The following is a 26,759-nucleotide window of genomic DNA, read 5'->3' on the forward strand; positions in this document are numbered from 1 at the left end:
ATTTTGCAGAAATTATTCCCTTCCTTTCTTTATATTTTATCACATATGATAGGTCCCTTAATGATCTATAATCTGGCTTTTGATTGCTTTTGTATTTTGTATAAATGGAATCATGCTATATGCATTCTTCTTGATTTTCTCGTGCACAGCATTATGTTTTTGAGATTCATTTATGTTGATGCACATAGCTGTAGTTAATTCAGTTTTACTGCTTGTTGAATTTGATTGTTTGCCTGTACCACATTCTTTTACAGTCCATTTTACTTTCGACGTTTGGATTATTCCAGTCTTTTGTTTTCATGAATAATACTGCTGTGAATATTCTTTCACATTTTCTGGTATACACGAGTAGGAGATATTCTTTTTTTTTTTAGACAGAGTTTTGCTCTGTCGCCCAGGCTGGAGTGCACTGGCTCAATCTCAGCTCATCGCAACCTCCACCTCCCAGGTTTAGGTGATTTTCATGCTTCACAGCCTCCTGAGTAACTGGGATTACAGGTGCCTACCACCATGCCCGGCTAATTTTTGTATTTTAGTAGAGACAGGGTTTCGCCATGTTGGCCAGGCTGGTCTTGAACTTCTGATCTCAAGTGATCCGCCTGCCTCATCCTCCCAAAGTGCTGGGATTACAGGCATGAACCTTTGAGCCTGGCCTGTGTGTAGGAGATTTTCAACGGCCTTGCCTTGTTGTGAAGTTGTTGGGCGTGTGCAAGTCTAGTTTTTCGTCAGAATGCCTGTTTTCCAAAGTTGCTGTCCCAGTAAGCTTTCCTACTGTGTCCGGAATTGGTGGGTTTTTGGTCTCACCAACTTCAAGAATGAAGCTGTGGACCCTCGCGATGAGTGTTACGGTTCTTAAAGATGGTATGTCCGGAGTTTGTTCCTTCAGATGTTCAGCTGTGTCTGGAGTTTCTTCCTTCTGGTGGGTTCGTAGTCTTGCTGTCTTCAGGAGTGAAGCTGCAGACCTTTGCGATGAGTGTTACAGCTCTTAAAGGCAGCGCGTCTGGAGTTGTTCGTTCCTTCTGGTGGGTTTGTGGTCTTGCTGGCTTCAGGAGTGAAGCTGCAGACCTTCGCGGTGAGTGTTACAGCTCATAAAGGTGGCGCGGACCCAAAGAGTGAGCAGCAGCAAGATTTATTGTGAAGAGTGAAAGAACAAAGCTTCCACAGCGTGGAAGGGTACCTGAGCGGGTTGCCACTGCTGGCTTAGGCAGCCTGCTTTTATTCCCTTATCTGACCCCACCCACATCCTGCAGATTGGTCCATTTTACAGAGAGCTGATTGGTCCGTTTTACAGGGGGCTGATTGGTCCATTTTACATAGCACTGATTGGTCCGTTTTGACAGAGTGCTGATTGCTGCATTTACAAACCTTTAGCTAGACACAAAAGGTCTCCAAGTCCCCTACCCAATTAGCTACACACAGAGCGCTGATGGGTGTGTTTATAAACCTTTAGCTAGACAGAGTGCTGATTGGTGCATTTACAAACCTCTAGCTAGACACAGAGTGCTGATTGGTGCGTTTACAAACCTTTAGCTAGACAGAAAAGTTCTCCAAGTCACCTACCCCATTAGCTAGACACAGAGCGCTGATTGGCACATTTACAATCCTTTAGCTGGACATAAAAGTTCTCCAAGTCCCCACCCGATCTTTAGGTAGACACAAAAGTTCTCCAAGTCCCCACCGGATTAGCTAGACACAGAGCACTGATTGGTGTGTTTACAAACCTCTAGCTAGACACAGAGTGTTGATTGGTGCGTTTACAATCCTTTAGCTAGACAGAAAAGTTCTCCAAGTCCCCACCCGACCTAGAAGCCCAGCCGGCTTCACCTCTCAATGGCACTTGCCTCGGGACCTTGCGGCACCTAGCCTGGGCACTCTGGCAGCCCAGAGGGAGCTTGTTCCCTGATGAAGCCCAGCAGGCACCAGCCGGCCTTGCCAAGTGCCCACCCGTGCCTCCCCCTCCCCACCTCCCCGCTAGCAGAGGGAGCTGGCTCCGGCCTTGGCCAGCCCCAGAGAGGGGCCCCCACAGTGCAGTGGCAGACTGAAGGGCTCCTCAAGCAGGGCCAGAGCGGATGTCGAGGCCAAGGAGGTGCTGAGAGCGGGTGAGGGCTGCTAGCACGTTGTCACCTCTCACTACCAGCAGAGGATGAGAATTCCCTTAGCTTCTCATCCTTGCCAGTACTTGGGTTTTGTCCTTGTTTTTGACTTTTGCCAATTTCGTGAGTGTGGATGGTATCTCATTGTGATTTTAATTTTAAGTTTTCTGATTCTTAATGAGGTTGAATATCTTTTCACATATGTTGTTCTTATATGTTTCCTCTTTTATTTCTATTTTTTTGCTCCCCTTTCCCATTGATCACATATATTATTTAAAAAATTGATTTGTATTTGTGTATTCTGGATACTACTTATTTGTTGATTATGTGGGCTATGTTTATCTTTTTGTTTGTAACTTGTCTTCTTATTCTCTTTATGGGGCATTGTTTATTTCAAATTCCTCAGTCTTACGTTTGATCTCCTAAATCTTTATAGTTTTTGACTTTCACATTTAGGTCTTCAATTCATTATGAATTAAGGAAATCATCAAACAGAAAAGGAGAAAAATGATGGACCTCTACCCATTTATTCATCTTCAAAAGTCTAATTCTGTTACCTTTTTTTGGGAAGTATTTAAAGCAAATCCCAGCATCAAGTCACCTTACCTGTTAAGATTTCAGTTTTGCTGATATTTTTTCTGCTTGGTATATGAGTTGCTGAGAGAGGTGTGTTAAACCCTATCATGGTGGATTTGGCAATTTCATTTTTTTTTTTTTTCTTTCTTTCTTTCTTTTTTTTTTTTTTTTGAGATGGAGTCTTACACTGTTGCCCAGGCTGGAGTGCAGTGGCGCTATCTTGGCTCACCACAACTTCTGCCTCCCAAGTTCGAGTGATTCTCCTGCCTCAGCTTCCCAAGTAGCTGGGATTACAGGTGCCTGCCACTACACCCAACTAATTTTTTGTGTTTTTAGTAGAGATGGGTTTCACTACGTTGGCCAGGTGGGTCTCAAACTCCTCACCTCGTGATCTGCCTGCGTCAGCCTCCCAGAGTGCTGAGATTGATTACAGGTATGAGCCACCACGCCTGGCCAGATTTGGCAATTTCTTATTGTGGTTATATCAGTTTTCACTTTATAGGTTTTGAGACTATCTTAAAATGTTTAGAATTATATTATCCTGCTGAATAAAATATTTTTATTATTATGAAGGGATTTTCTTTAATTCCTATAATCCTTTTTGACCTAAAATCTTTTATATCTGATATTAAATATAACCATACGAGGTTTCTTCTATACCCAGGGTGATGTATCTCTTTCACTCTCCTATTATTTTGAACTTTTGGTGTCATCATTTTAACATGTATCTTACAAGCAACATATAGCTGGCTTTTGTATTTTTATCCAGCCAACTACCTTTGTTATTTAATTGGAAAATGTGGTCAACTTAAATATATTGTGAATACTGATATTTTTTTTCTTATTTTATACTTTTGTCTTGCTTTTCCTTTTTCTTTTTCCTTTCTTGCCTTTTTTGGATTTTTTTTTTCTCTAGTAGTTTTGAAGTTATGGATTTTCCTTCTTGTAATGGTAACCTCAGCAATTTTAACATGCATATTCAGCTTATCACAATCTAAATTTCCTTAATGTCACTGTTCTCCTTAAACACTTGAATTTCAATTCCTCCAAACTTGTGTGCTATTGTTATCATCATGTATTTTAATTTCCAGCTTAAAAAAATTTAACCACACAGAGCACTGTTGTTCTTATATTACCCATGTATTTAGACCTTTGTTCTTCATTCGTATTTGCATCTCAGACTTTCCTTAAAGGATCATTTTTCTATTGCCTTTAGAATTTCCTTTACTGACAGTCAGCAGGTGACAAATTTTGTAACTTTTTACTCCTTCCAAGTTACTTTTATTTTACCCTTATTCTCAAAAGATTTGTCTTAAATAGAATTATGTTCTACCTTAGCGCATAGCAGGTACTATTTCACTTTTAGCTATAAACAATTTGGCTTCAGTATTGCTTTTGAAAAGTCAGTTTCCCTGTTATTCTTACTTCGCTGAAGGTAATCTTTCTCTTCTTTCTGGCTGCTTTTAAAATATTCTTTTTCTCATTATAAAATTCCACTATGATATTTCAGTATGTGGATCCATTTTTAGTAATCCTGTTTGGGATTCATTGGGCTTCTTGGATATTTAGATGAGTATCTTTTTTAGTTTTAGAAAGTTTGAAGAGAAGTTGCTGAGAATATTTTCCTGCCTCATTTTCTTAACTCCTGGAATGCTAATGAGATTTTTGTTAGATCTTCTGACTCTTCCATCTCTCTCTCTCTCTTTTTTTTTTTTTTTTTTTTTTGAGACAGCATTTCACTCTTGTTGCCTAGGCTGGAGTGCAGTGGTGTGATCTTGGCTCAGCGCAACCTCCGCCTCCTGGCTTCAAGCGATTCTCCTGCCTCAGCCTCCTGAGTAGCTGGGATTACAGGCATGTGCCACCATGCCTGGCTAATTTTGTATTTTTAGTAGAGACAGGGTGTCTCCATGTTGGTCAGGCTGGTCACGAACTCCTGACCTCAGGTGATTCGCCCACCTTGGCCTCCCAAAGTGCTGGGATTATAAGGGTGAGCCACTGCGCCCAGCCCATGTCTCTTTTTTAAATATGCACCATGTCTTAGACTCTCTGCTGTGGTCTGGTTAATTTCCTCTGACCTGTCTTCTAATTCACTAATTCTCCTTTAGCTTCTCTAATCAGCTGTTAAATCTGCCCATTGCATTTCTTATATCTAGTAATATATTGTTTATTTCTGGAAGTTCTGTTTGGTTCTTTTAAAAATCGATTTGTTCTCCTCATGGTGTTCTATTACTTAGTTGTGGGTATGTGACTGAATGTGTCTCTGTGGGCTGAGCTGCATATTTTTCTCAGAATTGTATCTGTGGAAAATCATTTAGGTCTAGGATGAAATTGAGTTTCTCCAGAGAAGATTGCATCTGCTTCTGTCATTTGCCTACAGCAGGGGTGTGTCCAATCATTTGACTTCCCTGGGCCACATTGGAAGAAGAATAATTGTCTTGGGCTGCACATAAAATAAACTAACACTAACATAGCTGATGAAGTAAAACACACACACACACACACACACACACACACACACACACACACAAATCTCATAATGTTTTAAGAAAGTTTATTAATTTGTGTTGGGCTGCATTCAAAGCCATCCTGGGCTGTGGGTTGGACAAGCTTGGCCTAGAGCCTCTTCTAGTCCTTGACCCCTTAAAATTAATTCTGGGTTTGAGATTTTTCAAAACAACCAAGTAGTATTTTAAGTTGTAATTAAAACTTAATTACAGCCCTGTGTGAGGGCTGGCTTGTGGCTTTGAATTCTCAGGGGAGCTGGTTTTCTTTTTGTTTTTCAAAGTTATGGGTCAGTGCAACCTTTTTAATTTTTTAAATAGTCCCTTTGGAATATGACAGCTCATTTCCAGTTTACCTTCATGCTGATATATATATATATATATAACTTTTTTAGGGTCTCCAGACTCCCTACCTTAGGTGGGTCAGTGTTCTTTGTCTCATGTTCCCAGAGGCCACCTTAGGTGGATCAGTGTTATTTGTCTCCTGTTCCCAGAGGCCTTGTGTTAGTCTGTTTTCACACTGCTGATAAAGACATACTAGACACTGGGCAATTTGCAAAAGAAAGGGTTTAATTGGATTCACAGTTCCATGTGGCTGGGGAGGCCTCACAATCATGGCAGAAGGCAAAGAGGACCAAGTCACATCTTACATGGATGGCGGCAGGCAAAGAGAGAGCTTGTGCAGAGGAACTCCTATTTTTAAAACCATCAGATCTTGTGAGACTCATTCACTATCATGAGAGCAGCACAGGAAAGACCCACCCCCATAATTCAGTCACCTCCTACCGGGTTCCTCCCACGACACGTGGGAATTGTGGGAGTTACAGTTTAAGATGAGATTTGGGTGGGGACACAGCCAAACCATATCATTCCCCTGCTTGCCCCTCCCAAATCTCATGTCCTCACATTTCAAAACCAATCATGCCTTCTCACCAGTCACCCAAAGTCTTAACTCATTTCAGCATTAACTCAAAAGTCCACAGTCCAACATCTCATCTGAGACAAGGCAAGTCCTTTCTGCCTATAAGCCTGTAAAATCAAAAGCAAGTTAGTTACTTCCTAGATACAAAGGGAGTACAGGCATTGGGTAAGTACAGCCATTCCAAGTGGCAGAAATTGGCCAAAACAAAGGGGCTATAGGCCCCATGCAGGGCAGTCAAATCTTAAAGTTCTAAAATGATCTCCTTTGACTCCACATCTTGTATCTGGGTCATGCCGATGCAAAAGGTGGGTTCCCATGGTCTTGGGCAGCTGCACCTTTGTGGCTCTGCAGGGTACAGGTGGCTCTGCAGGGTACAGCCTCCATCTTGGCTGCTTTCATGGGCTGGCATTGAGTGTCTGTGGCTTTTCCAGATGCACAGTGCGAGCTGTCAGTAGATCTGTCATTCTGGGGTCTGGAGGTGGCCCTCTCCTCACAGCTCCACTAGGCGACGCCTCAGTAGAGACTCTGTGTGGCGGCTCTGACCCCACATTTCCCTTCCACGCTGCCCTAGCAGAGGTTCTCCATGAGGGCCCCACCCCTGCAGCAAACTTCTGCCTGGGCATCCAGGCATTTCCATACATCCTCTGAAATCTAGGTGGAGGTTCCCAAACCCCATTTCTTGACTTCTCTGTACCTGCAGGCTTAACACCATGTGGAAGCTGCCAAGGCTTGGGGCTTGTACCCTCTGAAGCCACAGCCCAAGCTCTACATTGGTCCCTTTCAGCCATGGCTGGAGCAGCTGAGATGCAGGGCACCAAGTCCCTAGGCTGCACAGAGCACGGGGATCCTGGGCCCTACCCAGGAAACCATGTTTTCCTCCTACAATGGGAGGGGCTGCCATGAAGACCTCTGACATGCCCTGGAGACATTTTCCCCATTGTTTTGGGGATTAACATTCGACTGCTTGTAACTTATGCAAATTTCTGCAGCTAGCTTGAATTTCTTCTCAAAAAATGGGATTTTCTTTTCTATCACATTGTCAGGCTACAAATTTTCCGAACTTTTGTGCTTTGCTTCCCTTATAAAACTGAATGCCTTTAATAGCACCCAAGTCACCTCTTGAATGTTTTGCTGCTTAGATATTTCTTTCACTGGGTACCCTAAATCATCTCTCTCAAGTTCAAAGTTCTACAGATCTCTAGGGCAGGGGCAAAATGCCACCAATCTCTTTGCTAAAACATAACAAGAGTCACTTTGCTCCAGTTCCCAACAGGTTCCTCATTTCCATCTGTGATCACCTCAGCCTGGACTTTATTGTTTGTGCCACTATCAGCATTTTGGTCAAAGCCATTCAACCAGTCTCTAGGAAGTTCCAAACTTTCCCACATTTTCCTGACTTCTGAGCCCTCCAAACTGTTCCAACTCGTGCCTATTACCCAGTTCCAAAGTCACTTCCACATTTTCAAGTATCTTTTCGGCAGCACCCCACTCTACTGGTACCAGTTTATTGTATTAATCTGTTTTCACACTGCTGATAAAGATATACCCGAGACTGGGCAAAAGAAAGAGGTTTAACTGGACTCACAGTTCCCCAGACCCACGTGGCTGGGGAGGCCTCACAATCATGGTGGAAGGCAAGGAGGAGCAAGTCACATCTTACGTGGATGGCAGCAGGCAAAAAGAGTGCTTGTGCAGAGAAACTCCCATTTTAAAAACCATCAGATCTCATGACACTCATTCACTATCATGAGAGCAGCACAGGAAAGACCTTCCCCCATAATTCAATCCCCCCCCCACCAGGTTCCTCCCACAACACACGGGAATTGTGGGAGTTACTATTCAAGATGAGATTTGGGTAAGGACACAGCCAAACCACATCAGGCCTGCAAAGCCAAAAAATTGGTAATTGAATTTACCCAGTTTGGCAAATGCCTTCAAAGTGAAAATCAGCTTTAGAGAGCTCAATTGACCTTTCTCTGTGCCTGTGTACTTATAACTTCTGTCCTAAATATTCCTGACTTTCTTACCAACTTGTGAATGTATTTAAGAGAATGTTTTAAAATGTTTGTCCAGTGTTTTTTGTTGTTTTTATCAGGAAGGTTAGTAAAGGTTCCTAGTCCTCTGTGTTGCTATAAACAGGAGAGTCTCTGTATTTTTATTTTTGTTTCTCTATTCCTAACTAGATTTTACTATTCTTGAGGGGAGTAATCTTGCTTTGGACTTCTTTTGCCTTCTCTGTAGTACAACACTCAGTGTTCAGTGGATACTCAGTTACACAGATAGACATGTAGCTAGAAAACACTTTTGAGGGTTTCCATTTTACATATTTCATGTCTATTATATTTTTTAACCTTCCCAGTTATTTGGCAAGGTAGGTTATTTATTTATTTAAGACAGGGTCTCACTCTGTCCCCCAGGCTGGAGTACAGTGGTGCAATTATGGCTCACTGCGGCCTCAACCTCCTGGGCTTAAGTGATCCTCCTGCCTCAGCCTTCCAAGTAGTGGAGACCACAGGTACACACCACTGTGCCTGGCTAAGTTTTTTATTTTTTGTAGAGATGGGGTCTTGCTTTGTTTCCTAGGCTGGTCTCAAACTCCTGGGCTCAAGTGATTCTCCTACCTTGGCCTCCCGAAGTGTTGGGATTACAGTCATGAGCCATCATGCCTGGCCATTATTATTACCTCCATTTTACTGATCAGTAAACTAAGACTTAGAGGAAGAATTTGGATACAAATCTGGTAATAACTAGGGGTAGAATTTAGATTTGTGACTATTGACTCATAATTCTGTGTCCTTTACAATGTGCCATTTTGCTATTTAATTAATGTCATTGATATTTGACATCTCCTGATTACTTTATCTAGATATGAAAATTCCAGAGAAACCACTGGATTCATAATATCTTGATGAAATTATCTCTAAATCCTCACCTAAAATTTTTTTAGGTATTTACTTTGCTTAAGCTTTCATCAGTGACTTAAAACAATATATTGACTTCTGTTACAGAAAGCAGAAGAAAGAATTGGTCTTTTTTGCTGTTGCAGCATTGTGAAATATTTTTGTTGTAAAATATAGGTAATTTTTGTCTTTTCCAACAGGTGTGTATGTAATATAGATTGCAGTGGATACAGTTTTAATCCTGTGTGTGCTTCTGATGGGAGTTCCTATAACAATCCCTGTTTTGTTCGAGAAGCATCTTGTATAAAGCAAGAACAAATTGATATAAGGCATCTTGGTCATTGCACAGGTAAAATCCATTTTATTTATTCAGAGACCCATCTTTATTATTGTATAAATGTAATCTTATTTGTACATTTGGTAGTGTTTCAAATTTGTAAAATGAGAAATCCTCGAAGCTTTATTTTTTTATTACTTTATATTTCAGATTTTTTATTACTAATTTAGTTTTTTTTCATTATTTTCATCTTCTCAAGACATAAACCATGCTTCTTGGTTTTTTATTTAGTTAGTTCTTGGTTGCTAGCTGATCCTAACATGGAATTATAATTATTATTTATAGTTCTAATATCATCTCAAATTTGGAATGATTATAGCTATTTAAGAGTTAGATAACTTATTTTAATTTCAGTAAAACTATGTTATTGCCATATATTTGTTAAACCTCTTTTTATAGAGCATAATAGTTTACTTTGTTTTTCCATTATCTGTATCATTTTCCCTGTACATATTATGTATGATACAGATTTTGGTGTGAAGTTAGAGAATGTAAGGAAAAATTATTGCCTTTAGCTTAAAATTCTTTTCACCCTTCTTGCTTTTTGTTATAGCTTAGAAACCATGATACCATATAAGAAAGAGTTTTTGTTTTCCACCCCTACTAGAAATATTCAGTCTCTAAAGCCAGAGTTCCCAATTTTCTTTCCCCAGTAATATTCAGATGAGTTGGGAAGATGGATTATTTCCTCAGTCACATATGTGGACCAGGCACACTCTCATGGACTAGGATTGTATATCTTTCTTGCTTACTGGTTCCCTTCTTCCTCCCTTTTTAGACTTATTAAAGGGATATTATGTTTTTATCTGAGCTAAAGGGAAAAGGTTGTAAGCCAAAATTTGGTACATTATATTGGTAACAAATTATTTGTGACACACTACACAATTGATTGCAGTACCTCTGGTCTAAACTACCAAAGAATACCCAGGAAGCTCATCAGACAATTTTTAGGTAGGAGTTGAGTGTGGGCATGATAGAGGACACCATTTACTGACAGGGACCCCTTCTGGGTAGATGTCCCACTTAGCCTTGATCTTGAAGAAGTATGGTCCCCCCACCCCAGTGGGGTGGCATTTAGAGCTTGAGTGGGAAGACTAGCTTAGAGAAGGACTATGTTCTCTGAGGAAAAGATGCATATTTGAATGATACTCTACTCTTTGGAATTTCAAGTTCAGAGCACCTGGTCAGTGTATTAGTTCATCCTCACGTTGCTAGAAAGAATTACCTGAGACTGGGTAATTTATAAAGAAAAGAGGTATAATTGGCTTACAGTTCCACAGGCTATACAGGAAGCATGGCTGAGGGCCTCAGGAAACACAATCATGGTAGATGGCAAAGAGGAAGCAGGCACATCTTACATGGCCGGAAAAGGAGGAAGAGAGAACAAAGGGAGGTGTCATGCACTTTTGTAAACAACTAGGTCTTGTGAGAACTCACTCACTATTATGAGAACAGCGAGAGGGAAATCTGCCCCCCATGATCCAGTCACCTTCCACAAGGCCCCTTTTCCAACGTTGGGGATTACAATTAGACACGGCATTTGGGCAGGGACACAGAACCAAACCATATCAGTCAAGTTTGAGAGTTTAATTGAAATGCATCCTTTAGAGTGATTGGGCCTTAAGTTTTGTCTTAGTCCCCTCTGTAATTTTTCATTCACAAACCTAACTATGTCTTTCGTTTGCCTCCTCCACTAGTACTGGGAAGCTTGTGCTTCTAAACACGTGGTTATGGCTCATTTATAGTCTTCCCAGTCCAGGTGCAGTTCTCAAATCAGGGGTCATTTTTTATAGTAAGTGTTTCATAACACAGCAGAGATTCCCCATTTATCTTAATCTGATATTTCCAGGGTAACAGTGGTAGGAGAAGGTAAATCTTGAGGCAGTTGTCTTTTAGAGAAAGAAAGGTTTAACCCTTTCTTCTCAGAGTAGGTGTTGTTTTAGTTTGCATAGGAAAGAGTTTTTAAAGGAGGCGACATTGGAGCTGAAGTATAGATGAAATTGGCTATTCATCATGCAAAGAGCACTTATACCTAGGATGCCTAGAGGCCTAAGACAGAAATGACATAATTGATTTAGAGAATGGTAGACAACATGAGCAGGATAAGGGGGCAGAGGTTAAGAAGAACTTGGAATAATTTGGAATTATTGGGAGTATCATGATATGACTTAACCATTGTATATATTTTAATTTGAAAACCGTCTTCTCTTACAGATACAGATGACACTAGTTTGTTGGGAAAGAAAGATGATGGACTACAATATCGACCAGATGTGAAAGGTACTGAATCATGCATCTCCAAATTTTGGCCAGCTATGGAAATACGGTCACTAGCTGTCCTTATTAGTTCTGTTTCCATTATAACAACACCTCTAACTTTGCTCTCTATAGTAATATACCTAACACAGTTAATTATTAGTATTAATAGTAACAGAAACAGCTGAAGTTCATCTCATTTTATAAGGTACTCTCATATGTGCTTTCTTTGATTAAAGTCTGTATTGAGATAATTTTAGATGTACATGCACTTGTAAGAAGTTATACAGAAAGATCTCTCAATATGTTTTATAAAAATCCTCTTTACTCCTCTAGAATCTCCTGTTAACACTTGCCCGATGCCCAGGTCTTTGAACCTTGTTCCTTTGCCTGAAACTCTTTATTTCCTTTCCTGATTAATTCCTTCTTATCCTTTTAATCTTAGCTTGGAAGTCATTTTATTTTGGGAAATATCCCTTGAATCTGAAGTCTATATTAGATGCCTTTCCTGTATACTCCCCTCTCTGAACACTTAGCCCACTCTATTATAACTGCCTTTTTATTCATCTGTAACCTCCTCTAGGCTATGAGTTCTGTGAGGAGAGGAGAACCTGTCTGTCATGTTCACTCTGTATCCCTAACCCTAGCCGAATATCTGGTACATAAGTAGGTACTCTGTGCTTGTCTAAAGAGTGGATGTGGCTCAAAGAAGCAGTAGGTTTTATTTACACAAGGTCTCATGTAGTAAAGGTTGGAGCAGAGGCTGGATTCCAGGTCCCTTGACTTCAAGGCCACTGCTCTTTTTGCTTGTTTTCACATCCATTATTTTGTTTGATTCTTATAACTGCTCTTTGATAGGTAAGGACCAATGGGAAGATTGAGGATCAATGAGGTTGTATCTGGTTAACTGAAACAGGTCTATATCTTTGGCCTTCTAGGCCAGGACCTCTATATAATTGCTGAATTACAAGTGCATCATCTATCCATTTGTTTGGTTGCACCATTAAAAGATATGTGATCTATCTTTTATACCTAATTTCTAAACAATATGTAAAATGGGAGTGATAATAGTACCTGTTTCCTAGAGTTTCATAAAAACTAAATGAGATAATATATGTTAAGTGCTTTGAACAGTATCGGATATACTTGTAAGTGTTCAACAAATGGTAGCTGTTATCATTGAGTAATTTGTTACTTCTCTTACTTGAATCATATGAAACCTGAGTTAGTTATAACCCATGAGCTGCTGAAATATGTCTCCTATGTTGAAACAAAATGCTGTATTTAAAATAGAAAATTTCCTGTATTCTCGTAGGAGACAAAATAGGTCAGCTTCAGTTTTATTCACTATATTGATAGTACTTGACTAGAATAGGAAGGCCATTTTTCAGTATTTGGAAGCTCATACTTAGGGCAGTTTGGGGAATTGTGTGTTCTAAAGCACTTGTGTGCCATTGATAATGGATAATTTAGAGCCTAGGCCACTTTTGAGATACTGAAAATGTTTTACACATAAGAATTGATCTCTAATTTAAATGAAATTATCATAGTAGAAATAATTTATTATGTACCTAATTTATACTGGTCATTTTACTGTTTGTAGTTAGGAAGATATCTAAAATATATGCATCTTTAAAGTTCTTGTGATGTAGTAAATGCAGATAACCAACTTCTAACAAAGTAGAAATTGATTATTGCTATAAGTGTATACAGTTTAAAAGTGCAATGGGAATTCAGAAAAGTTGAGATTAATTTTTGGTGGGGAACAGTGGGAATCTGTGAAATGTCTTGGAAGAAGTGGAACTTGAGTGAACCATGAAGGACGAACAGGAGTCAGAAGGATATCTAAGGAGGATAGGAGAGCATGAGCATAGATATGCACACAATGTTATGACAGGATGTGTTGGAGAAAGGTAAGGAATCCTTTGGGCTGGAGAATAGGAGGCTTAAGAGGTAGAAGTAGAAGGCAAGACTAGAAAGACAGCTTGGGGCCAGATTGTGTAGAGTGTTGAATGCTATGCTACTCTAGGGAATTTAGACTTTATTTGTGGGCAGTGGGGAATCATTAATATATTTGAAAAAAGCAAGGCTACAAAGTTAACCATTTGAAAGAATGATACCTGGCAGGAATATTGTGCATATTGTATACATTGGAATGGAGGCAGGGATATCAGTTAGGTAAAGTCAAAAGGAATAGACATCTTAGATATGAGAGATAGAGAGTTAAAAATGACTTAAGTCTTCAAGCTCAGATGACTTAGATGATGAATTCTGTTCACAGAACTAAGGATATTAGGTAGGTAAAGGTGTTTGGAATAAAGTAAGGGAGGAGTTGATGGTGGAGATGATTGATTGTATTTTAGAGTTTGAGGTGCTTGTGGAACTCATCCAGGTCACTTTGTTCAGTATAAATTTGTGAGTCAGTCTTTGGATATAGAGGTGATAACTGAAGCCACAAGAATGAATGAGAGAGAGTATTGTCTGTTATAATAGCTACTGGCCACATGTAGCTATTTAAATTTAAATTAAAATGAAATCAGCTTGGACAACATGGTGAGACCTTGTCTCTAAACAAAATTAACCCGTGGTGGTGGTACGCGATGTGGTCGCAGCTGCTTGGGAGGCTGACGTGGGAGAATGGCTAGAGCCTAGGAGGTTGAGGCTGCAGTCAACTGAGATCGCACCACTACACTTAAGCCTGGGCGACAAAGCAAGACACTGTTTTGGAAAAAAAAAAAAAAGCATTCTAGCCCTATTTCAGATGTTCAATAGCCAGATATGACCAGTGACTACCATATGGGACAGCACAGATATAGAACATTTTCAGAGTTGAAGAAAGTTCTGTTGGATGCACTATTATTTAGAAAGGAGAGAAGGCCCAACTTGGGATGAAGCAGAAAGAGGACTGAGAGGAAGAAAATCAAGAAGAGTACACAGAAGCTACAAGGGAAAGGATGGCCAATAGCTTAAAAAACTACAGAAAGGTATGAGAAGACAAGGACTAAACTATGCTTGAATTTGAAGGCAAGGGGATCATTGACAATCTTGGACCAAGTTTCTTCCATGAAGGATGAAAGACGAAACCCAAATTGTAAAAATGTTCTCATAGGAAATAGAGGTTAAAAGGTAACTCTATTTTTATTGTGTTTATTTTTACCTCATTTACTTTTATTTATTTATTTATTTTGTTCTCACAGCATTTATAGGAGGCCCTTAGTAAATATCCACGTCTGCAACACACAGCCAAGATTGGGTAGGTAAGGCAGTGATCTGGGGATGGAGGCTACAAAATGAAAAGCAGGAACACAGCACCAGCAAGAAGCTGGAAAGATTGGAAGATAGTGCTCAGTAAGAAATGTCTTTTAAAACTTAGCTCTTAGAGAAGAGTGCTTGTGAAATGGAGCATTTGTATGTCTAGAATAGCTGCTGAATTAGAGCTTTTCTTGGGCTGTTGGAAAACCTGTGGTAAATATTGAAATTGGGGTGTTAGAAGCTCTGTTGTAGATGTTGAAGTCATAAAGGATATGATTGAGCATGAGTTGTATGGGAGATGGGTATGTGGCATTTAGAAAACATGTATCTATGATATGTAAACAGAATAGTATAATAAACCTCATATATCCAGTACCCACCTTCAGCAGCTGTCAGCATTGTCATTCTTTGTCTGTATACTTCCACCCGTGTGATTATCATTATTCTCATTTTATGGTTTTTAAAGGTGTAATTTATAGCACTGAAATGCACAAATCTTGACCAATGAATATACTTCACATATACCACATCTTATAATTGATACCATTTCCACCTGCACAGGAAGTTTCTCTGTGGTATATGACATTTTAATGTGACCATTTTGATTCAAAGATATGCTCATACAGCCTATAATCTAACTATACCACCCTTTTTATTATTATGAAGACATTCTCACTTTGTTCCTGAGCTCCACCTTGTCCCAACCCCCACCCCATCTTTGGTCTCATCCTTGAGCCTCATTAGTCTCTCCTCCTGCAGCTGGCCAGGGATACCTGAGATAGCGAGATAGTGATATCATTTCCATTACTGGTGACTGTTTAGATATTTCAGTCCAGCTCTTTTGATATGTCCTTTTAAAAACGATTTTGACAAATATGCCTCATCAAAAGGAAAGACTGTGAGCCAAGCGCTAAGATCAATGAAGGAAATCAGAGAATGTCATGGAGCTTGGTGGAGAGTCATATAGAGGATGATTAGCAGGCTCCTAAGAGAGGAAGGTGCTGGGGAGCTGAGAGTGGAATGCTGGGCTGGAAGTGACAGTGGCGAGCACATCAGGGGAAAAGGGAAGGAAGGGAATCTAGGAAGTAATGTGGCCTTGGTACATCAGGAAGATGAAAGGAGTATTTTCTAAGGGAGTAGTTGAGGTAGATGAACCTATTCATGTTAGAAAAGGTGTTTCTCTGGGCACAGTGGGCAGGCTAGGAAAGGAGGAATCAGGGCTGGTGTGGAGGACAGTGGGGTTTAGAATTGGGAGAGTGGGAGGCATTGGAGTGCGGGTAGGAGTTTATATAGTGGAAGATAATTCCTTAATGGAGTCCAAGCAGATGGTGGTTAGGGAAGGATGTGTGGAGGGATATGTTAGTGGCGAAGGCTGGGGAGGTGCAGGGTAGTATAGGGGAAGCAAGACAGAATATTTTGAATTTTTTAACTGTAGAGATTTATAGAAATAATGAGCCCTAGGGTTACTGATGCAGTGTTGATATAGTTGTGGCCTCAGTGGTTTACCTTCCAGATACATGTCTCCATTGCTAATAGCAACTCCTCATGCTTTATTTTGGTTGTACACTGTTGGACCAGGACAGATAGCCAGTGGAACAAGCCTTTGCAGATAAGCCATCTGGTACTGGGTTTTTTCATAACATCATCCCTTAGAACCACAACTATCCTTTGTATTTGAAAACACTGCAGCTGGTGGTGGATTTGTTTCTGAATGCCTCTGTGGGTGAAAGGAGCCATTTGGTGACCAAGTATACTTTTTATATTGTACACACAGACACACACACACACACACACACACACACACACGCACACACATTGTTGCAGTTGCAACAGACTAGCAGTTGCAGTTGTTGTTCTTGGAGCCTGTCACCACTTAGCTAAGGGCTTGTTTAGGCAGGATCATTCTGTGCTCAGTTCTTACTGTGTGCAGGTGACATCTCTGCTGTTGTTTCCGAAACCATGTTATGTTACATCTTTTGAGGCTTTTTATCTTTCCTTTTTGAAGTTGGCTAATTTACTTGGCCTGGAGAGCAGGTGCTTGGCCATTCTGCTTTTTATCTGTTTCCTACACATCTCCTAGGATAGCTTGGAGAAATAATACTGTAATGGCTAAGAGCTTGCTCTCTGGAGTCAGACTTGGTCTATATCTAATAGCTGTGCGTGTTGATTTCTGTGAGCCTCACTGATCACATCTGTAATTAGGGACAGTAATATCTACTACCTAAGATCACTATGAATATTAAACACTATGTTACTGAGTTCATTATCAGTGTTATTATGGTTATTTTTAATACTTTTGTTTCCTAGTTTCATGTTGAGTAACCTGGCTGTGCTCAACAGTCTCACCATTGGTGAGATAGTTATCTGTCTTGTTATTTAATATTATGGTTCATAAGTGACATCAGTAGGATATTCTTTCATTTAATAGTTATTAATTGAGTGCCCTACTATGTGCCAGGTGCTTTCACATATTTATGTTATTTAGTCCTCATAACAACCAAGTTTACCCTCATTTTGCAGATGAAGAAACTGAAGCTGCAGGAGTTTTGCCCATATAGAATGGCAGAACAGCGACTGGAATTCAGCCTTTCTGACCCTAAGTGCTGCTCCTTCCCTTTGTACCATGATTCTAGAATTCTTTTCTGCTTCCTTGCTTTCTTAATTACCTTCAGATATTTAATCCCCTCTGAGCTATTACTTTGGTGAACCTTAACACTTGTTCTCGAGCCTGGATCTTTTTTCAAGCACTGGTTTCACATATTCAGTTGCCTGGTGGGTCCTTGTACTTACTTGTTTGTTTTGCCATTGCTTCAAACTTCTGGAACTACCATAGTGCCTGGAACGTAATAGATGCTTAAAAAATACTTTTTGAATGACTGGAGATCTAAACTTGATCTCAGCTTACTACATTTTCTCTTCGGAACCCCCATCATTAGGCTCACATTTGGAGTCATTTTTACATAATTCTGTATTACAAGCATCTTCAATAAAGAGGACAGTTTGGTTCTACTAAACTCTTAAATGTGCGGGGTTAGTGCTGGGTACCACTCTTCAAGATAGTTGTAAATTGTTTGAGTAGGGGTGGGACTGGGGAAATCTGAGCTTAAAAATAAAGGATTGGTTAATAGAGGGGAGAGGGTAAACAGATGTGGGGAAGTCTACACCAAGTTGAAGCGAGGTTTCATTCAACATAAAGAAAATCTGATGGTATTAGAATAAACTGTATTATGAGTTCTGGAAGTGTTCAAGTAGACATAGGCTCTGAGAGTTATAAAACTAAAGAGATTCCTTTATCAAACCAGATGGCCTCCAAGGACCCTTCCAGATCTGAGTTTCTGAGCTCATTCACTTTCCAAAACATCTTCAAACCATTTTTATTTTTTCTGTGTGTCTAGTATCTACTCCTATTGCTGAGATTTAGCTTAGCTTCTTGTTGCCACAAGTTTGGATTATGTACTAACCTTCTTATTTTTTTGAGACACAGTCTCGCTCTGTCACCTAGGCTGGAGTGCAGTGGTGCGATCTCAGCTCACTGCAACCTTCCACCTCCTGGGTTCAAGTGATTCTTGTGCCTCAGCCTCCTGAGTAGCTCGGCTTACAGGTGTGCACCCCATTCCCAGTTAATGGATTATGTACTAACCTTTTAATTGGTCACCTGATATATATATATGGTCTTCCTAGTTCCCCTGCCCCATTATCTTGTATGCTGGTATCCAATTAATTATTTTAATATCTTTATTGAGATTCCATTTACATGCCATTAAGTTCATCTGTTTAAAGTGTGCAATTCAGTGGTTTTTAGTATGTTTACAGAGTTGTAAAAGTGTTAATCATAATCTAATTTTAGAACATTTTCTACACCCCTAAAAGAACCTCCACACCCATTATTAGTCAGTCACTCCCCATTCGCTTAACCACCAGCTCTAGGCAACTACTCTCAACTAATTTTCATGTAAAACCCGGCTTTCCCTGTGCTGCTCTTCAAAAGGCCTTTAGTGTCTTCCTTGTCCATACGATGAAGAAAACATGTCTCACCTAGAATTCAAATTTTTCCATAATCTAGTTTTAGCCTACTTTTCCAACTTTGACATATACCCTTCGCCAGTCTGAATGTATCACTCTACCTGGGTTGCTACTGTTTATTCTTGAGAATGCCATGTGCATTATACCTTCCCTTTGCCTTCCACCATTCCTCTGTCTAAATCTATTTATGCTCTGAGTCTTAACTTAAGTCCTACCCTATCAATAAATCCTTTAGCCTACAGTGAATTCTCCTTTCAATTTGAACTTCCATAGCACCTAGTGTTATAAAACCATCTTTTGCCGTTTAATTGTAAACTGCCACATGGGACCCCTTCCCCTTGTGTTATTCAGCTTTTCATGTGTATATGCTGATTTTCTAAATTGACTATAAGCTTCTTGAGGGCAAGGACCATGCATGCTTTTTTTTTTTTTTTAATATCCTCTGTAGCTTAGCTGAGCATGTAGCTATGTCCAGAAATAGTATGTACGTTTAATGGGATGAATAAAGTTGGCATTGAGCGGAATATTAGACTCTGTGAATTCGGACGTTGTCACAGGATTCAAAGCCTTATTAGACATGTTCATGTTTTATATAGCCTCACTTTGCCTACAGCTTGATACCACATTCTTTCATTAATTCATTCAGTATATGTTTATTGGTGCCATACTTTTCTTATTAATTTCTCAAAACCTTGTTTTTAATTTGGTTAACTTCCTCTGACTGCTTTCACCTAGCTGAGTTCTCTTATAGCTTTCAGCTCTGCATTATTCTTGAAATTCCTTGCTGTTTAAAGAACTTCTTATGGTAGATTAGTACATTACCACAGCCTCTACAGACCTGCACCGTCCTATTACTAGGACTCTATCCTTATAGGACTTTATTATCATAGGTTGGTGCATAACGTTATTCTCTATAGTCCCATTGTTATACCCTTTCATGACCATGTTCTGAGAAATGCTATGGGAGATGACCACTTTCCTCAATTCACTTATGGCCTGATTGGGAATGTAGAGTGGCATTTTTAGTTTGAAACTGTAGCAAGAAAAGTATATTTGATCTCAGTTATTTGGCTTCTGATAAACTATTTCTCATCAAAGCTAAATTACTTCAGGAAAGTCTTCTGCTTGGATCACAAGTATTAATAAATAAAAGATGTGATAATTAAGTTTTGACCTCTGTTAGGAAACACAGGATAGGACTACTGCAGACAGCCCAGTTCACTAAGGAATTCAAGATGGAAACCTTTATTGGATAATAATTTTGTCAATGGAAAACAACAAAGATACAATTTATAACTGTTTTTTCTCCCTTTACCAGGAGAAAATTAGAATTTATTCATTTAACAAACATTTGTTGAGCACGGAACAATACTTGGTAATACTTATTTATTAAGTACTTATTGTTTGCCAGGCATTTTTCTAAGTTCTGTACACACTTACATACTTAATACACTAAATATATTATCTCATTTAGGCCTCAAAACAACCCTACAAGAAGTAGACATCACTGTCATCTTCATTTCTCAGATTAAAAACCTGAGGGCCAGAAATAGTTAAGTAACTGCCTTTGGGTCACACAGCTAGAGAGTGTTGTAACCAGGATTCAAACCTAGGCAGTCTGGCCCTAGAGCTGTGTGCTTAGCCATTATATGTACTACATTCTAAATGTTAGGAGTTATACAGAAACGAATAACACAAGCAGCTAGATTATTAAGGAGCTCACAGTCTTATGGTAGAGGCTGACTTAAAAAACCCAAATAGCAATAAAACAGGCAGTATTGTGAGTGTTATAATAGAGGAGTAAGTGCTCAGGATCATAGCAGCCCAAAAGAGAGCTTGATTTCTTTTGCAATGGCAGAATTATAGTATGGGAGCTGGAAGAGACCTTATAAGCCCTTTGATGACAGAATATGTTTTCATTTTTGTATTCCCAGCACCTAACAGAGTACCCAGCATATACAAGGTGATCAGTAGATGATAAATTAGTGATCTGTTTTGCACTTTCCATTATGATAGCTACTAGGCTCGTGTGGCTATTGAGCACTTGAAATGTGGCTAGTCAGAATTTAGATCTTTTGTGGGTGTAAAATATCAGAATTTGGAGACTTATTTTAAAAAGTAAAAATATCTCAATTTTTAATATTGGTAGTATGTGAAAATGATATTTATTGGCTATATTGGATTAAAATATATGATTAAAATTAATTTACTTGTTTCTATTTACTTTTTAAAATCTGGGCTACTAGAAAATATAAAATTACATATGTGTCTTGTACTATACCTATGTTGGGTAGTGCTGGTCTCATTCAGTTCCCTCAGAGAGAAGAAGTGATTTGAACGAGGTCACAAAGCAGTAAAGACATTTTTTAAATTGAGAATTTATATGTTAGGTTCCCTGACTTTTAGGTCTATTCTCTTTCTAGGCATAAATTAAATTAGCACAATGTAAATATATACACTTTGAGGAAAAATAATATCATTTTGGTCTGATTTCTCTCTGCTTTAGTTCCACTGTCACTGACCTTAATAATCATTAAGGTTTTTTTCTGTCTATATGTAAATTTTGATCCTCAGAAAATCCGCGTTTTTGGTTCTCAGGGTTTTTTTACACTTGGCACCTCTATTCTCACTTCTCCCTTGATCTTCCTCTTGATCTTCTCCATACACATACATATAACTCACTATTTCATTCCTTTTTAATTTGTTTCCATTAACATTAAAAAATTTTATTAATACCTTTTATTTGTATTTTGGGGAGATAGGCCCTGTGATGTTACATGATGTGCTATATAAATAGCTGGTTGTTTTGGTGGTATTGTACATGCATTTGTTATCTCCTTTAGTCCTCTCAAAACTGCATGAAGTATAGGTCCTATTATTCTGAATTTATAGTTATGAAGTCTCAGGTTTAAGAGGGTAGTATACTGCAGGTACGGCTGTAGTGCACAGAGTCTGTTAGCTAGAACTGTGTAAGATAGAAATGGCAGGAAGCCTGGGGATTTTTCCTGCACATGGACAGGCCTGTAAATATTGCGGAATTCTGGGTCCTTTGAGCTTAGGATTAATGTATTGGTGCATATACCAAAAAAAGTACAAAAATCCATTCCCAAATTTATTTGTGTATGTGTGTGTGCATATGTGAGTGTGTGATGTATATACAGAGAATGAATGAGTGAATGAATCTGATTTTGAAGACCAAGTTCCTATGTTTTCATCTTTCCTGACCTGTTCCATCTCTCCTTCCTGACTCTCTTCATTTTCTTCACTTCAGTTCAGTTCAAATCATTATACTTAAGTCTGAGCAGATGTTCATCAACATGTTGACAGTGTTTTATTTTTGGAGAGCGAAATCTCAGGTTATTTTGAATTTCTTTTTTAACCTCTGTATTACTTGAATTTTTAAAATAATGACCATATACTAAGAAAAACTATATGAAAAGAGCAGCAAAGCTATTTTCACTTGGGAAAAAAATCAATGTGCTTGATAATTTTCATTCCAAAAATAAACCTTTAACCCTAAAATTTCAGAGTCCCTTAATTTGCTCTCTGTCATTCAGTGTTCTTTGGCCTCAATTTCATAGCCCTCAAATAAATGATTAAGTTCATTCCCCAAAAGCCAATTCTATGTACACCATCTGTCTGTCACAGAGGTGAACTTTCTTTTAGAGCATTTATTTCTTTAGCAAAGGTGTTTAGTTTTCTTTGCCAGATTGTTTTTAAACAACAGTAACTCCTAGCAGTCACATTCTGCAAATATTTTTAAATGCTTTGAATCTAAACAGTTTACCTGCTGTGTTTATGGCATAATAGGAATTAGAAGAGACCCTGGATCTTATCTAACCCCCTATCTGATAAATTTTCTTTTCAAATTGCCAGTAGGTGGTTGACAGTGGGTGAATTCATTTGCTGTTTCAGAACATTTGAAAAGTCCTTATTTTTCAGCTTGCGTTTCATTGTTGAACGATCTGGTTTATGTTCTTTTAAGATGCTAGTGATCAAAGAGAAGATGTTTATATTGGAAACCACATGCCTTGCCCTGAAAACCTCAATGGTTACTGCATCCATGGAAAATGTGAATTCATCTATTCTACTCAGAAGGCTTCTTGTAGGTAAGTCAGCGCTTCCAGATCAGTGGTGAGCATTTTTTTTCATCAATGGTTGTTGCTCTATAGAAGGGAATGAAATGTAGACTAAATATTACCAGAAAGTAGTGTTTATTTGCAGTAGACAAGTAAAAAACAAATCAGCAGCATCATTTGGAAAAAAAAACTGGCAAGTAATATGCAGAAAACAAAAATCTTTTTTTTTTTTAGGGCTTAACATTTTAAATATAATACTATACATTTTTAATACAAAAAATAAATGTGCCACATTCCAACACTATTTTGGTTTTTAGGCAATCTGTCACAAGGTGGCTGAGGGACTAAAGACTGTATTAAGAACAGAGAACATGTAACTCAAATAAAATATGTGCTAAAATAGATTTCTAAAAATAAGGGGATGGGGACGAAGAACCAGGTGTGAATTGAGAGATGAAAATGGAAAGGGCGTAAATCCTCAAATCCCTGATTCCAGAGAGGTTATGTAACTTGTTCAAGGTCAACAGCAAGTTAGAAATAGAGCTGGGAAAAAACTAAGTCTCAGACTTTCCGATACCCTACCTGATGATCTTAGTGTTTTTTGCTGCTCTTGCCTGTCTGCGGATACACCTTTTTGCTGCTGCTGCTAGAAGCTCATCATCTGCTTGATGTTGGTCTAGTTAGCCAGGTGATGTTTCTATAGACAAGGGGACATTGCTGTCATTTTGCTCACCCTTGCCTCCTGGAGTTTGACCAGATCCTTTTTTTCCTTTCTTAGTCAAAACATCGAAACATGGAGAAATACTATACTTTTCTTTTGTTTGGTCCACCTAGAAGCCAGTGAATCTTTCTTTCCAAAAAAATAAGAGGAAGCAATTGGAAATCCAGTCTCTTGGGTCCTTCTACTTCTTTAGCTCCCTGCTCCTGATTTTTTTCACCTGCCTTTCTCCTGCTTAAAAAAACAAGAAACAAAACAAAACACTGTAAACTGTTAATGGTTGAATAGTTCTTTAAGACATTTGCTTTTTCCTGATTGAAAGTTCTCCTTGTCTTTGAAGGAGCTAGCCTTCTCTTCTTTTTTTTGTGAACATTTAAAAAATCTAGCTGTACGAATGGTAACAGGCCAGGTTTTTTTTTTTGTTTGTTTTGTTTTGTTTTGTTTTGTTTTGTTTTGTTTTGTTTTGAGATAGAGTCTTGCTCTGTCGCCCAGACTGGAGTGCAGTGGTGCGATCTTGGCTCACTGCAACCTCGGCTTCCCAGGTTCAAGCGATTCTCCTGCCTCAGCCTCCTGAGTAGCTGGGACTGCAGGCATGTGCCACCATGCTTGGCTAATTTTTTGTTTTTTTGAGATGGAGTCTCGCTCTGTCACCAGGCTGGAGTGCAGTGGTGCGATCTCGGCTCACTGCAACCTCCGCCTCCTGGGTTCAAGTGATTCTTCTGCCTTGGCCTCCTGAGTAGCTAGCACTACAGGCATACGCCACCATGCCCAGCTAATTTTTGTATTTTTAGTAGAGATGGGGTTTCACTATGTTGGCCAGGATGGTCTTGATCTCTTGACCTCATGATCCGCCCGCCTTGGCCTCCCAAAGTGCTGGGATTGCAGGTGTGAGCCACCATGCCCAGCCTAATTTTTTGCATTTTTGGTAGAGACAGGGTTTTGCTGTGTTGCCCAGGCTGGTCTTGAACTCCTTAGCTCATTAAATCTGCGTGCCTCAGACTCCCAAAGTGCTAGGATTACAGGTGTGAGCCATTGCTCCTGGCCCAGGCCAATTTTTAAACTAAATCTTATAGTGGGCTCTTCATGTTTGTCCTACAGTGGCATGGATAGCTTGATAGAAGTTTGGATCTTGTCCTCTTAGGATGGTGCGTCTTTCAAGATACTTAAATGAAGGACGAGAGAGAGGATCATGTTCTGGTAATGATGTGATACAAGGTCATTTTCTAGTATTTTACTAACTGAAAGTAAGAGGATTGAATCGTGTACAGGTTAAAGGCTTTGAAATTGGATACACTGACCTGGCCAATTATTAGCTGTGTGTTCTTTGGAAGTTACGTAAAATATCTAAGCCTCATTTTCATCTTTCTGAAAGTAGAATAGTAATAGTACCTATCTCATGTTGTTAAAATTAAGTGAGATAATATATGTAAAGTGCTTAGCCTGATACCTGGTATGTAGTATGTACTTAATGAATAGCAATTGATATCATTATACTCTAAGCCCGTTAGTCAGGGGCTCTTTGTTTTGTTAACCACTATTTTCCCTGTGCCTAGTATAGGACCTAGCCCAGTAGGTACTCAGTAAATATTTTTTGAATGACCTGTGATGATGATAAATTTTTAAGAGGAATATCTTAAATGCTAAAGAATCCCTTTTCTGCACAATTATAACTCCTTAAAAGCAGTTGATCTTTTTCTTTTGTCTGAGTCTGTGCAGTGTCTATAGGAATCAGGCCATGATATCATGTGCACTTCTGCTAGTAGGTAGGTGTGTTTGCATAGCAGTAAACAGGCAAGGATAAACAGCCTTTAGCCACAGTCCTATTGTTAGGTTAAAATCTTCTAGCATTATGGTACCACTGATTTTTCGTTTTGTTTTTGTTTTGAGATGAAGTCTTGATCTGTCACCCAGACTGGAGTGCAGTGGAGCAATCTCGGCTCACTGCAACCTCCACCTCCCAGGTTCAAGCGATTCTCTTGCCTCAGCCTCCCAAGTAGCTGGGATTACAGGTGTGTGCCACCATGCCTGGCTAATTTTTCTATTTTTAGTAGAGACAGGGTTTTGCCATGTTGGCCAGGCTAGTCTCGAACTCCTGACCTCAGGTGATCCACCTGCCTCAGCCTCCCAAAGTGCTGGGATTACAGGCATGAGCCACCGCACCTGGCCTGATTTATTTTTTGATTGATTGATTGGTTGATTGACTTATTAATGCCAAATTCTCCCTGATATTGGGGTGTCAAATTCAACTATGACAGAGATCCAGGGATCTTGCCTTTAAAAAGCATACAACCTGGTGAAAGAGACCGACAAATAAGTAATTATAATATGGAAAATGCTATCATACACAGCTATACATGAGGCGATTTGGGACTTCAGAAAAGGCACATCAGCCTGAAGATGGGTGGGGGACATTGTTGGAGGAAGGGTCAGGTCTTACAGGAACATTTGGGCCATCCCAGGAGCTTGGCTTTTATTTTAAAGGCAGTGAGAGACGATTAGAGGATTTTAAGTAGCAATGATGAGATCAAATCTGAAAGCCACTCTGGTGACATTGTGGAAAGTAGATTAGAAAATTTAGGAGACTTAGTAAGAAGTAAGGGCCTGAATTAAGTATAAAGGAGTTGTGAGGCTGAGAAAATAAATGGATTGCAGAGAGATCATTAGGTGGTTGAACTCACAGATGTTGGTGACCGACCTGTTAGGTTGGATATGAGCACGAGAACCTGGGGATTGGTGGAGGTTAGTGGGATTAAGAGTCAGGAGAGTCTCCTGGCTTTCTGGCTAACACAGGATTGAGTGGGAAATGCATTGGGAAGAGGGAGAAGGTTTGAGGGGGAATGATATATTCAGTTTGACGTGCTTGGTCTAAGATGCCTGTGGGATATCCGCTTACAGATGTCTAGTGGGCTGCTGGATATATTTTAGTTTTGGAACTGATGAGAGAGATGTGATTGAAGACATACATTTGAGAATCATTCCCTCTCTAGCATATCCATTTTACTTTCTACCTAGCAATTCTTCTATCCCACTAGCCCTCCCATTTATTGATCCTATCACCTTTTCCGTGTCCCTCCCTGGATATTCTCTTCCCCTCGTTAGTGT

The 26,759-nt window shown here is 39.4% G+C and overlaps 2 protein-coding genes across 2 annotated transcripts in view; both read left to right on the top strand.

The window, feature by feature from the left end:
• Positions 1 to 26,759, top strand: part of MSANTD3-TMEFF1 (MSANTD3-TMEFF1 readthrough) — a 135,731-nt gene that overhangs the window by 96,646 nt on the left and 12,326 nt on the right. Inside the window, exons 6-8 of the mRNA NM_001198812.1 lie at positions 9,193 to 9,341; positions 11,544 to 11,609; positions 22,846 to 22,969. Of these exons, the coding sequence (NP_001185741.1) occupies positions 9,193 to 9,341; positions 11,544 to 11,609; positions 22,846 to 22,969 (339 nt within the window). The remainder of the gene's footprint in view (positions 1 to 9,192; positions 9,342 to 11,543; positions 11,610 to 22,845; positions 22,970 to 26,759) is intronic.
• TMEFF1 (transmembrane protein with EGF like and two follistatin like domains 1) overlaps positions 1 to 26,759 on the top strand; it is a 104,488-nt gene that overhangs the window by 65,403 nt on the left and 12,326 nt on the right. Inside the window, exons 6-8 of the mRNA NM_003692.5 lie at positions 9,193 to 9,341; positions 11,544 to 11,609; positions 22,846 to 22,969. Of these exons, the coding sequence (NP_003683.2) occupies positions 9,193 to 9,341; positions 11,544 to 11,609; positions 22,846 to 22,969 (339 nt within the window). The remainder of the gene's footprint in view (positions 1 to 9,192; positions 9,342 to 11,543; positions 11,610 to 22,845; positions 22,970 to 26,759) is intronic.

Source organism: Homo sapiens, chromosome 9 (assembly GCF_000001405.40).
Source record: "Homo sapiens chromosome 9, GRCh38.p14 Primary Assembly".
Taxonomy (NCBI): domain Eukaryota; kingdom Metazoa; phylum Chordata; class Mammalia; order Primates; family Hominidae; genus Homo; species Homo sapiens.